Source organism: Homo sapiens, chromosome 5, assembly GCF_000001405.40.
Source record: "Homo sapiens chromosome 5, GRCh38.p14 Primary Assembly".
Taxonomy (NCBI): Eukaryota; Metazoa; Chordata; class Mammalia; order Primates; family Hominidae; genus Homo; species Homo sapiens.
The window spans coordinates 103,899,461-103,914,080 of NC_000005.10; the positions used below are offsets into that span (position 1 = coordinate 103,899,461).

General features: G+C 36.4%; 1 long non-coding RNA gene across 3 annotated transcripts in view, besides 1 other annotated feature; it reads left to right on the forward strand.

Annotated features, from left to right (window-relative positions):
• Nucleotides 1-14,620, forward strand: part of LOC105379107 (uncharacterized) — a 339,090-nt gene that overhangs the window by 292,229 nt on the left and 32,241 nt on the right. For 2 of the 3 annotated variants that reach the window (XR_001742833.2, XR_001742830.2), the window contains exon 1: nucleotides 13,802-14,026. This is a non-coding gene — a long non-coding RNA (uncharacterized LOC105379107). Of the gene's footprint in view, nucleotides 1-13,801; nucleotides 14,027-14,620 lie in introns of those variants that run through there. The other variant, XR_001742831.2, reaches the window with a different exon arrangement.
• Nucleotides 13,795-13,995: a silencer, noted in NCBI's record as "peak5381 fragment used in MPRA reporter construct". NCBI's record gives its function as "represses an SCP1 promoter by STARR-seq MPRAs in K562 erythroleukemia cells {active_cell/tissue: K562}" and the evidence as "EXISTENCE:reporter gene assay evidence [ECO:0000049][PMID:32103011]".

The following is a 14,620-nucleotide window of genomic DNA, read 5'->3' on the forward strand; positions in this document are numbered from 1 at the left end:
GGAAGTTTGGAACTTTCTAGAGACTTGTTGAATGGCTTTGACCATAATGCTGATAGTGATATAGACAATAAAGTCCAGGCTGAGGTGGTCTCAGATGGAGATGAGTAACTTTTTGGGAACTGGAGCAATGTTCACTCTTGCTATGCAAAGGGACTGGCGGTATTTTGTCCTTGCCCTAGAGATCTGTGGAACTTTGATCTTGAGAGAGATGATTTAGGGTATCTGGGGGAAGAAATTTCTAAGTGGCAAAGCATTCAAGAGGAAGCAGGGCACAAAATTTGGAAAATTTGCAGCCTGATGATGTGAAAGAAAAGAAAAACCCATTTTCTGGGGATAAATTCAAGCCTGCTGCAGAAATTTGCAGAAGTAACAAGGAATTGAATGTTAATCACCAAGACAATGGGGAAATGTCTACAGGCCATGTCAGAATGCTTCATGGCAGCCCCTCCCATCAAAACCTGGAAGCCTAAGAGGAAAAAATGGTTTCCTATGCCAGGTTCAGGGCCCCCCTACTGTGTTTAGCCTAGGGACTTGGCTCCCTGCATCCCAGCAGCTCCAGCCATGACTGAAAGGGGCCAATGTATAGCTCGGGCCATGGCTTCAGAAGGTGCAAGACCCAACCCTTGGCAGCTTCCACATGGTGTTGAGCCTATAGGTGCACAGAAACCAAGAATTGAGGCTTGGGAACCTATGCCTAGATTTCAGGGGATGTATGGAAACGTCTGGATGTTCAGGCAGAAGTTTGCTGCAGGGGTGGAATCCTTATGGAGAACCTCTGCTAGGGCAGTGTGGAAGGGAAATGTGGAGTTGGAGCCCCGACACAGAGTCCCCACTAGGGCATTATCTAATGGAGCTGTGAGAAGAGGACTACTGTCCTCCAGACCCCATTATAGTAGGTCAGCCAACAGCTTGCACCATGCACCTAGAAAAGCCTCAGACACTCAATGCCAGCCCATGAAAGCAGCCAGGAGGGGAGCTTTAGCCCACAAAGCCATTGGGGCGGAGCTGACCAAGGCTGTGGGACGCCCACTTCTTGCATCAGCATGACCAGGATTTGAGACATGGAGTCAAAGGAGATCGTTTTGGAACTTTAAGGTTTAATGACTGTCCTATTGGATTTTGGACTTGCATGGGGCCTGTAGCCCCTTTGTTTTGGCCAGTTTCTCCCATTTAGAATGGGTGTATTTACCTAATTCCTATACCTCCATTGTATTTGGGAAGTAACTACCTTGCTTTTGATTTTACAGGCTCATACGTGGAAGGGACTTGCCTTGTCTCAGGTGAGACCTTGCACTTGAACTTTTGAGTTAATGCTGAAATGAGTTAAGACTTTGGGGGACTTTTGGGAAAGCATTATTGTGTTTTGAAATGTGAGGACATGAGATTTGGGAGGGGCCAGCGGTGGATTAATATGGCTTGGCTGTGTCCCCACCCAACTCTCATCTTAAATTGCAGTTCCTATAATCCCCATGTGTCCTGGAAGGGATCCAGTGGGACATAATTGAATCATGGGGACGGTTACTCCCATGCTGCAGTTGTCATGATAGTGAGTGAGATCCTGTGAGATCTGATGGTTTTATAAGGAGCTTTTCTACCTTTTCCTCAGCACTTCTCTCTTGCCTGCCACCACGTAAGACATGCCTTTGCTCCTCCTTCATCTTCTGCCATGATTGTAAGGCCTCCCTAGCCATGTGGAACTGTGAGTCCATTAAACCTCTATTTCTTTATAAATTACCCAGTCTTGCATATGTCTTTATTAGCAGAGTGAAAATAGATTTATACAGGTATCATCATAATAAAACTCACTAGCAAATTTTTAACTTTTCTGCTACTAATTTGCTAGATGAATTTAGTATATCATTTAAACTTGCTGGGCTTTATTTTCTTTGCAACAAACCAATAAACAAAACAAACCTCATTTTTATTCTATGTTGTTCTATTTGTCATCTAAATTCAGTGCACACTCCTTAACATAATACTCCAGACCCTCTGAATTCCTGATGCAGTCTGTGACTACACTCATTTTCCTCACTCCAAATGTCCACAGATCAGAAGATAAATCACCTGAAATTCTTGTTTTTCCTTGGACATACCCAATTCTCTCATACTTGATTTTGTTCCTGTTTTGAAAGCTGTCTGCTTCTTTGTTAAAATGCAAGGCAGTATTCAAGGCCTAGATTTGGGAATCATCACCCACCCCTCACAACTATCCTTCAGACTCAGTTTAGTTTCCCTCCTCTGCTAAACCATTGTATTTCTGAAGCAATGTTCTTTGTTTATACCTTTATAGCGCTCAATGAGCATTCTATTTGGTGCATGCTATGGTTTGATTGCTTCCTCCAAAAACAGTATGTTGCCAACTGAGTCCTCAATGCAACAGTCTTGGGAGGTGTGGCCTAATGAGATGATTGAGCCATGAGGCCTCTGCCCTCATTAATGGATTAATGCCATTATCACGAGAGTGTATTTCTTATACAAGCCAAAGCTTGAAAGTAATAGTCCCATCTCTCTGCAAAGGTCAGCAATGTTGCAGATCATTTTCTGATCTCATAGTCAAGTTTCAGGAATTTGGTACTTTCCCCTATTTCTGATAATCATCTGGTCTATTCTAATAACTGAGGCCCTGTTTTGTTTCCCCTTGTTTAGGTCCATGACTCAATTTATCATGCAGAGAATATGGTCTTGGAGGTGTAAAAAGAGACATATGGTTTAGGGAAACTTCTGACTCACACCTCTAGGAAGACTAGATATTGGATTGTTTAAATACATATATATGCATGCACACACAGAAGGCAAGAGCAAAACAACACCACCAACAAAAGGCAGTATTGTAAGAATGAGGAACACCATAAGCCCAAATGGCAAAGTGAAAAAGAAGAATAATAATGGGGCTGAGTTGCTAAGAGATGAATGAAAGGCAAAAAGAATAAAATACCTAGGAATACAGCTAACCAGCGAGGTGAAATGTCTCTTCAGAGAAATACAAATCACTACTGAAAGAAATCAGAGATGAGACAAACCAATGTAAAAACATTCCATGCTCATGGATAGGAATAATCAATATTGTTAAAATGGCCCTACTACTGAAAGCAATTTACATATTCAATGTTATTCCTATCAAAGTAACAATGACATTTTTTACAGACTTATAAACAACTATTCTAAAATTCATATGGAACAAAAAAAGGGCCCAAATAGCCAAAGCAACTCTAAACAAAAAGAACAAAGCTGGAATCTAGAGGCATCAAACAGCTGGACTTCAAACTGTACTACAAGGCTACAGGAACTGAAATAACATGGTACTGGTACAAAAATAGACACATAGACCAATGAAAGAGGTTAGATAATACATTAACAGAGCCACACACCTAAAACCATCTGATTTTATGGACCCCTTCATTTCACCATATACAAAAATAAACTTTAGATGGATGTATGAGTCCATTTTCATGCTGCTGCTAAAGACACACCCGAGACTGGGGAAAAAAAAAAAAAACCAGAGGTTTAATTGGACTTACAGTTCCACATGGCTGGGATGCAAGGTACCAAGTCCCTAGACTGCACACAGCATGGGGACCATGGGCCCAGCCCACAAAACCATTTTTCCTCCTAGGCTTCTGGGTCTGTGATGGGTTGGGCTGCCACGGAGATCTCTGACATGCCCTGGAGACATTTTTCACATTGTCTTGGGGATTAACATTTGGCTCCTTGTTACTTATACAAATTTCTGCAGCCAGCTTTAATTTCTCCTCAGAAATGGGTTTTTCTTTCTACTGCAGCATCGGGCTGCAAATTTTCTGAACATTTATGCTCTGTTTCCCTTTTAAAATGGAATGCTTTTAACAGAACCCAAGTCACCTCTTCAATGCTTTGCTGCTTAGAAATTTCTTGGGCCAGGCGTGGTGGCTCACGCCTGTAATCCCAGCACTTTGGGAGGCCAAGGTGAGTGGATCACGAGATCAGGATATTGAGACCATCCTGGCCAATATGGTGAAACCCCATCTCTACAAATACAAAAAATCAGCCGGGTGTGGTGGCGTGTGCCTGTAGTCCCAGCTACTTGGGAAGCTGAGGCAGGGGAATCACTTGAACCCAGGAGGTGGAGGTTGCAGTGAGTTGAGATTGTGCCATTGCACTCCAGTCTGGTGAGAGAGCAAGACTCTGTCTCAGAAAAAAAAAAAAAAAAGAAAGAAATTTCTTTTTCTGCTAGGTACCCTAAATCATGTCTCTCAAGTTCAAAGTTACACAAATCTTGAGGGCAGGGGCAAAATGCTGCCAGTCTCTTTGCTAAAACATAGCAAGAGTCACCTTTGCTCCAGTTCCCAACAAGCTCTTCATCTCCATCTGAGACCTTCTCAGGGTGGACCTTATTGTTCATATCACTATCAGCATTTTGGTAAAAGCCATTCAACATATCTCCAGGAGGTTCCAAACTTTCCCACGTTTTTTTGTCTTCTTCTGAGCCCTCCAAACTGTTCTAACCTCTGACTGTTACTCAGTTCCAAAGTCACTTCCACATTTTGGGGTATCTTTTCAGCAATGTCCTACTCTACTGGTACCAATTTACTGTATTAGTCTGTTTTCACGCTGCTGATAAGAAATACCTGAGACTGGGAGGAAAAACAGGTTTAATTGAACTCACAGTTCTACATGGCTGGGGAGGCCTCAGAATCATGACTGGAGGTGAAAGGCACTTCTTACGTGGCAGTGACAAGAGAAAATGAAGAAGATGCAAAAGCTGAAACTCCTAATAAAACCATCAGATCTCGTGAGACTTATTCACTACCACAAGGAGAGTAGTGGGGAAACTGCTCCCATGATTCAAATTATTTCCCACTGGGTCCCTCCTGCAACACATGGGAATTATGGGAGTACAATTCAAGATGATATTTGGGTGGGGACACAGAACCAAACCATATCAATGGATTAAACACTTAAAAGTAAAACCTAAAAGTATAAAAACCCTAGAAGAAAATCTAGGAAATACTATTCAGGACATTGGCCCTGGCAAACATTTCATGATGAAGACTCCAAAAGCAATTGCAACAAGAGCAAAGATTGACAAGTCAGACCTAATTAAACTAAAAAGCTTCTGCACAGCAAAACAAACTATCAACAGAGTAAACAGACAATCTAGAGAATGGAAGCAAATATTCACAAACTATGTATCCAACAAAGGTCTAATATCCAGATTCTATATGGAACTTAAACAAATCAACAAGCAAAAAACAAACAACTCCATTAAAAAATGGGCAAAGGACATGAACAGACACTTCTCAAAAGAAAACATACATGAAGCCAACAGACATATGAAAAAATTCTCAACATCCCCGTATTTAGTTTCTCCAATTTGCATTAGAGAAATGCAAATCAAAACCACAATGAGATGCAATCTCATACCAGTCAGAATGGCTATTAGTAAAAAGTTAAAAAAATACAAAAACCAAAAAACAGATGCTGGCAAGGGTACAAGTAAAAGGGAACACTTATACATGGCTGGTGGGAATGTAAATTAGTTCAGTCACTGTAGAGAGCAGTTTGGAGATAACTCAAAGAACTTAAAACAGAACTACCATTTGACCCAGCAATCCCATTATTGGGTATATACCCAAAGGAATATAAGTCATTCTACTACAAAGACACATGCACAAGTATGTTCACTGAAGCACTATTCATGATAGCAAAGACATGGAATCAATGGAATATATTCCATGTTTTATATATATACACACACACACACACACACACACACACCATGGAATACGATCCATGGACTATATTCCATGGTGTATATATATATCCATGGAATATATTCCATGGTGTGTGTGTATATATATATATATATATATATACACCATGCAATACTATGCAGCCTTAAAAAGAAGAAAATCATGTCCTTTGAAGCAACATGGATGCAGCTGGAGGCCATTATCCTCAGCAAATCACACAGGAATGGAAAACCAAATACTTCATGTTCTCATTGATAAGTAGGAGAAAAACACTGAATACATATGGACATAATGAAGGGAGCAATAGATAGACATCAGGGCCTACTTGAGGGTGGAGGGTAGAAAGAGGGTGATGATCAAACAACTACCTATTGGGTACTATACTAGTTACTTGGGTGACAAAATAATTTGTGTACACCAAACTTCCATGACTTGAAATTTATCCATGTAACAAACCTGCACATGTACCCCTTGAACCTAAATTAAAAGTTAGAAAGAAGAAAAAATGAGATACGTGAAAGGATAGGGTAGGAAATAGTTTGTTAGAAAGGTATAGGGGGATGCTGAGGGCCCAAAAGCTAAAAATAAAACTCACAATATATCACAGCTTACCCAGACAGCATTGCCGAATAGTTCTAATTGTTCTTCCTTAAGCGGACCCTTACATATTGCTTTGAAATATTCTTAATCATATTAAAAAGGTTTGTAGCTATTTATGGGTAATGACAACATGTAGGATTTGAAGTTATACTGCTAATACATGGATAACATGATCAGTACATTTCTGTTGGTGAGGCTACGGATGATTTTATTACATCTTTGGTTCTCTCACTCAACCGAATTTTTCTGCATTAAGAATTTTGTTGTCTTTTACAGAAAAGCAAACCTATTAATGTTAAAAAATATTTGGAGAAAAAATATAAACATAAACATTAAAAAATAGACTCAAAGTCATATGCCACTTTATTTACAAAGTCTATCTTTGGATGGTTGAAATATATACATTTTAAAATTTTATTTACTTATTTATTGTTTTACTTTGTATCTATTATCCAACTTTTCATCTCCTGGCATATATTATTTTTAATCAGAGAAATATGAGTAATAGTATAGATTAAAAATATGGGAAGAAATATTCTGAAATATTAAGAATGGTTATCTTGAGGTGGTGGTACTTTAGGAGATTTCCTTCTGTAGATACTTTCTTTTGAACGGTTGCTATAATGGAAACTATTAGAAGTTAAACTTTATCTAAAGTAACTCAACAAATCGATATCTAAATATTGCATAATTAGTATGCAATATTTAGGTAAAGAGTTATATACCATAATTAGTATGGGTATAGAACTAAAAAGTTATATACCATATATATCATAATTAGTTATATACCATAATTAGTATGGTATATAACTCTTTCTAGAACAGCTTTTTTTTAGAAAGCTATATTACATTAATACCATATGTTCTAAATAACTATCATATTTCCTTTTATGCATGTCTTTTTGACAATGCCTATTTTTAAAATCCCTCAGAACATTTTTTAAAAGGTTGGAATAATTAATTGCCTGATGCAGTAAGCATTAAGTTAATAATGTAATGTTTATTCATTTATTTTGCAATAGTACTTCAAACTTCTTTTATTTGAATACTGGCAATGTGATAATAAATGAAAATATTTTCAAGACTGATTTTATCGATAGTCACTCTAACTCAAGTGATTAAAGAGAATATCATAGTCTGTAGTTACTAAATGATAGTTTTATTCCCTGCAAAATAGTTATTCATCTTGGTTGGCTGCTCTAGTGGAATTTTGTTTATGACTCTACGACTTGCATTAGAAGGCAGCTGTGTCTTAGTCTTGCTTTAAATTCTTATTAATATAGTTCACAAAGAAAGGACAACTAGTCAAAGAACCAAAATGTATATATCTTAATCCTAAAAATGCTATCACTTCAAAGTGAATTACAGCACTATATGGAAAAAGGCTTGCATTGTTATTTAAGTTCATCCATTCAACAGGATTAAAATAAATGGTGCACTTACCTCACACAGCACTGAAATGCATGGTGATGAAAAGAAAGGGTGAACTTCAAAGAGGCAATGTGCAAGATTTCAGATTTGATGGAGGGATTTACTTCTCAAATTGTCATTGCCATTGACTGGATTTACTAATCAATGAGCAAAAATTGAATGAAATGAGAAGCTGTGCCTAAAACTAGTAAATCTATAATTCATATTTTACTTTTGCTTGTTGAAAGACAGGGCAATTTTGATCAGTGGCTGAGACAGCATTATATATGAACCCTAAACTTTTATTCTGGGCCTTTACCTAAGGCTATTTCAAAATCACACCTAAATTTGTTTAATAATGTAATTATTAATTTAGAAAATTTAAAAAAAAATAATATTTAGAATTCTACAGTTTAATCATGCCTTGATTTATCTGGCCTTGTGAATTTATGTTCAGGTTTTACATTTTTAGCCTTTGTTTATTTTACATTGCTTCAGCTATTTTTTCAAGCGTTAGGTTGATTATCTAGGTCATAAATCTTACTTTGTCACTGAAATTTTATATTATACAAAATGCCTGATTAATTAAATAAAATTAATCAAAACTACTGTATAGACCGAGCAGGTTTAGTGATTAGTTGTCACATATTTTTCCAATAATTATTTTAAGCCAATTCCTTTCCTTTCTAAAAATACATACATGAGTACTAATCATGATTCATTTGAGGTGTGTGCACCATGACTTATGGCAGCTATGAGCAGAATGTCATCCTTTAAAAAATATTTTTTGCAGAGTTTCGCTTTGGGATGATTAAAAAAAAAACTTTTAGAAACAGTAGTAATGGCTGTGTAACATTGTAATGTAACTAATGCCACTGAATGGGATACTTAAAACTGTTAAAATTTCATATTTTATACTCTATATATTGTATTACAATAAAAACTTTTAAAAAGAAACAAGAAAAAAGAAATTAAATTGTATGTTTGCTTTATAATCACAACTAACATTTTTGAAACTTTGGATCAAAGGATTTATGTCACTATATCACTACAGGTTAGTGAAGATGATAGGTTTTTACTGGAAATTTTGGGAAAGAAATAGTTGTAAGGTGTTCTCATCAGGAACTTTGTACCAATTCTCCCTGGTTAAATATGAACCGGACTTTCAAAGTCTACTGAGTGAAAGCTGCAGCATTTTCAGTTGGTAATGTCTTGAAATTTTCCATCTGATTTAGTCAGCTAGGGGTTTTAGGAGTTCCCTTTCCAATATTGAGGTTGAGGTGGTTGGCAACTTGATCCTTTTATTGCTTCTGGGTCCCTCCCTCAACTCTCTACAGCAGCCAAATGCTGTTCAGAGGCATGTGGGGAACCAAAAAGTGTGAATCTCACATCCTCTTAAAATTCTGTCTTTCTGTTTGGACTAGTCATCCCAATATACAAAACCATCTCTGAGAAATGGAAAGGGAAAAGCTCAGAGTGAGAGAAGTGGGATATTTCAAAATTTTGCCAAAAACAGCAAGGCCGGAAAATCCTTGGCAAAACAGAAGAGCTGGCTACTTTAACACCTTTCTCATTCCTAGGATCCCGGGTGATTGAATCTGGCCTCCCGTTAACTACAGTGCTACTGTCCCCAAAGGTTCTGTTTTTGCAGGTGGAAAAGCAGTCGGAGCAGCGGCACCTTTTCTCCAACTCAAACATTCTTTTCCAGGCCCTCTGTGGAGCAGTCTGCTCCAGTGAGCGCAGCATTCAGTTATCAAATCCCTGAAGGCCCATTAGACCTTAACCAAATGACAGCCTGTAAAGTTCCTTGGCGCGAAGAATTAAGTTGAGTTGTTAACCTTCCCCATGCAAAGGACAACAAAGAAATTCTAGTAAGAGGTAAAAGGACAGACACTCAATTTACTGTTTTACTATTAAATTCTCATCTTTTGCTCATGGAAATAAATGTGCTCGCTTTTCACAGCCATTTTCCTTTGGCAACTGGCATAGGTGGCTACCTGTAGCAGCAGCCTCTTTGCCTCTCTGCCATTTATTATCCCATTCCAGCTTGCTGCCTACTCCACTCAAGCACCTTATATAAAGTGATACTGCTTAAGCTGAAGTGCTAAAGTCTACCCACCCTAAATGGGATATGGAAATGTGGGAATATTAGCCCTTAAACAGTAGGCTAAAATTTCTTTCATCCATAGATCCCTCAGGCAAACGGGATTTTAAAGCCAAACTCGCAGGTTGCCTTTTGCTTTTGCTTTGTAAATCAGCAGTTGGATGTGTAACTGGGACTTTTTTTTTTTTTTTTTTTAATGTCAAAATGACCCTTGGGTGTTGATCTGGCAAGTGGAAATAACATAGAAGGGCTGTATAAGTAGTTCTGGAATGGCAGTTAAAATCTCATAATCTGACTTTAACAATTGATTTTGCTCCAAATTTCCATATTGGTATTATTCAGCTTTTGGCCCAGGATCGGGAAATGGAACTTTTCCCAATGAAACTCAGACTAAGCTTAATATTGGACTTATGCTGCTCATAGTTTGGGTAGGTAAATTTTAAACATCTGATTTGCAGGCCAACTTCTAGAAAAAGAAGATGAAAAGATCATTTCATTTATTCCCCTGGTGGGATGGAACATTTTCTTCCAATATGTTTTCCAATTTACTTTTGAAATTTATGGAGCTTAAGAAAAGTACCATTCCATTATCTAACGGTTCTTGCTAATAGGCAGTTTCCTTAAATATCCAGCCTAAATTTTCCATTGCTCATCTGACTTCAAATCTTCACCATTTTCCAATCATATGGATTTTATAACTTAATGTTTGCTAAATCCTTAGTTAATAGACATTCTCAAGATTGTAATTTTAAAACAATGCATATTAAGTGATTTTGTTCCCTTAGAAATTCTGTAAACTACTGATTGAATGTGTGAATCATTTATGCCCTGTCTCTAAAAGAGTGAACACTTTCTATGTAAACAAATGCTCTGGAAAGCGAGAGATGAACTCATTTATTTTGCCTAGCTAAGAGAATTGTTCTGCTTCGCTTGATGCTGTCAGAGTTTTTAAGAAAGAATAAAATGTAAAGTAAGAATGCTTGTGGTTATTCTCTGAGGTTAAGCCAAGAAAAGTATATATGGAAAGAAACAATGCATTTTACAGAACTGGTCAGCAGCAATTTCTTTCAATCACTAGTAACCTGTGGGGTGTTCAATCATTGAACACCCAGCAAAAGGTTGCATCTTTCCTTAGCAGTTCTTTGATATATTGGGAACTTTAGGTCCACTCACAGTTCAATTTTTATATTAGGTATTGAAAAGCCATCCTTACTAGACTTGCCAATTTAGCTGCTATATGGATTAAAATTGTTGCAAATCTTTTCTGCATATTCCTCCTGATAATTAATTTCAGCTATTTGGTAATAACAGCTAATACCAATTGAGTACTCACTATGTACCAAGCACTATTTAAAGTGCTTTATCTGAAATAATTTAATTTTACAGAAATCTTTGTTAGATGTACTTATTGGCCCATCTTACAGGTGAAAAAAGTAAAGCACTGATTGATTCATTTGCCTAAGGTTTCACCTCTAGAGTGAGGCAAAACCAGGATGAGACTCCTTATTCTCGGTCTCCAGAGACCATGCTTTTAACCACAATTTTATTATAGTCAAAATGTGAATATTTTTATTATTAAAGAACACTTTACAGCAGCATGTATGGAGTATTCTTGCCAAAAATATTAAACATGAATTTGATCAAACCTCTAGATCCAATTTCAAATTTACAGGAAATACAGAGGATAGAGGAATGTGTTAAGGAACCACAGGGATGCTGTCAGCAAAATCCATACTATGGGAAAGTGGATACATAAGGAATCTGGTTTCTTCAACAAATAAATTGCGAGAGAGAGAGAGAGAGAGAGAGAGAGGAGTGGAAGCCTATAAATTAAAAGAGACTTAAGAAGCACATATCAACCAATAACAACAACAACACATGCACTTTATCTGGACCTCTATCCAAGAAAAAAAAACATTAAAATTAAGACATTATGAGAATAAATTTAAGTTCTATACATTTTGTAAATAATATCATAAAGAGAGTACATGTCTAATGTTGTCATTGCAAAAAATGTTAAATACTTGAGGTTATGTATATGTTAATTAGCTTAATTCAATTTTTCCACATTGTATTAAACAATCATAACACTACTTGTATCCCATAAGTATACATAACTATAATTTGTCAATATGTAGTAAAAAATTTAAAAACGAACGCTAGAGACTTGTTGGTATTAAGAAATCACTGTAAAATTTTTAAAAAGTAATCATGTTGTGGTAATGTTTTAAAAAAAGAGACCCATATATATGAGTCTTTTAGTCCATGTATATATTCAATCCATACATTTATATACAAAGTCTATATATATATATTTACCCATACATATATATCTCTCTCTAGATAGATATGAATAAAATTATATGTTGTTCAGGATTTCCTTAGAAATATAATGTAATCAGAAATATAATCAGGGCCGGGCGCAGTGGCTCACACCTGTAATCCCACCACTTTGGGAGTCCAAGGCGGGTGGATCACGAAGTCAGGAGATTGAGACCATCCTGGCTAACACGGTGAAACCCTGTCTCTATTAAAAATATAAAATTAGTCCGGCGTGGTGGCAGGCGCCTGTAGTCCCAGCTACTCTGGAGGCTGAGGCAGGAGAATGGCGTGAACCTGGGAGGCGGAGCTTGCAGTGAGCCGAGATCATGCCACTGCACTTCAGCCTGGGCGACAGAGTGAGACTCCGTCTAAAAAAAAAAAAATTATATGTATATATATAAAATCAGGGATGTGACAAGTGGGTAAGGGTATCAAAAATACATATTGGTCATGTGTTGAAAATAATGATATTATGTAATAGGGATATGTGGGTTTGTCTTGTTTTTGATCTCTTTTTGTATGTTTGAAATTTTCCAAAATTAAAAGCAAAGTAAACTAAAACAAAAATAATAATTAATGGCAGTTCCTGCAATCATTTGAAAAAAGTGTGATTTATAACAACTTATAAAATTTGTTACTACATAGAAGTAAGCCAAAGGTTTCAAATGCTAATGGTTTTATGTCATAAACTGCCAATTCTCCTATTTGAATTAGTGTATATTTCTTTCACAGAGAACCTTGTACAGCGTCATGGTGACTTTAAGGGTTAGTCTTTAGTGGGAAAATTTATTTTCAAAAGGGATCTGACAGCAAATGAAAAGATTGGAAAAATCCTTCAGAGCAGAGTATGATCAGATTTACTATAAGTGGTACTCATTTACCAAAAGTGATTAAATTATAGTCAGGATGTACCCTGAAGCACCCACTTCAGTAGACAGACTAGAATATATTTAGGAAACGTGGAACACTGCACTCCATCTGTGCTTTACCTTTCACAAACTAATCTTATGTTTCCATTATAGTGGCTTGCGCTAACTCTGCTTTCATCACATATTTCATTGGTGCTTAGAACATGACACATGTTGCAAAGACCATATTTTTCTTAACTTTTTTCTATAGATATTGGAAGACAAACTGCCTATGTAAAACAATCCTTGACTCAAAAAAAAGGTTGGTGTAGTAATGAAGGTTAGAAATGCCACAAATGGGAATAGGATCAGCCACAACAAGGGTGTTAACTTTCGCTGGTAATGCATGTCTGGCTTCTTTTAAGCAAGCATAAGTATATGCTTTGGAAAAACCTTACCCTACTAGTTATTAGATGTACTTCCTCCATAAATGACAGAAATATCTGGTCTTAAAATTAGCTATTCAGTGTAAGAGTTTCTAAACATATAATCTGTCAAAAATCATATTCTGGCCTTTGGATACTCAAAAATAAATCATTATGAATTTATGGGGCAAGAGCCATATATATACACATACATATATATGTATACACGTATATATATATATATATATATATATATATATATATATATCATCTACAATGTACTATGCTTATGAGAACTACTCATTTATCACATTTGAGTGTAGTTAAGTGGAGTACTTCAAAGCCGCATTTGACTTCAGTTTCACTTCTCCACTATAAGTTATCAGTACTCAACAGAGTGAACAATTTGAGAGGTGTGCAACTCTTGATCTCCTTATTGATCTCTGTTTTCTCTGATATAAATTATGAGTTTTCATTTTCACTCAACACCCTGCAGGAAAGAGAAAACAGATTCAGACTAAAGCACGTGCCTGACAATGTGTCTGCTGCATTGCATGAGGCAGCCTTGCTGCAGCCAACCATAGTGGGGTAAGTTGCAAATCTATAGCACCGAATTACTTTACGTCAGTTATTTCATTAGAGTTTGTGCATTACCACAAAATCCCGTTTATTTTTTTGACAAAAAATTTTAGTGAAATTCTGTTTCACGAAATTACTGAAGACCCCTCATTGCCTGTAATAGTTTCAATTAAATATTCTACTTGTTTTTTAGATGTTCGTGATGAGATAGAGACCAAAGTCTTTTTGCAAAAGATATACGAATTTCTAGGAAATTTCATTGTATCAGATGTGTAAAGGATTTTTTTAAAGTATGCTCTTTAAAACAATACATTTTGTTTACAATGTTTTGGGAACTGTTGTATGTGGTCTATCTTGAGACAATGTGAATTATTATGAATTACTGTTGTTTACTTTGAACACAATATTACTTTTCTGTTAATTGTGACCCATCATTTTCTCAAGAGAAGGATGGGTTAAATAAATAATTAATTTATGCTATGACAATTGTGATTCCCATGAACATGATTTTCTATTATCTACACATAATAGTGATTACCTTGATTAAAATGTTGATGATCAATTCATTTATCTGTCAGTGTCACCCATAAAATTATAAAAATG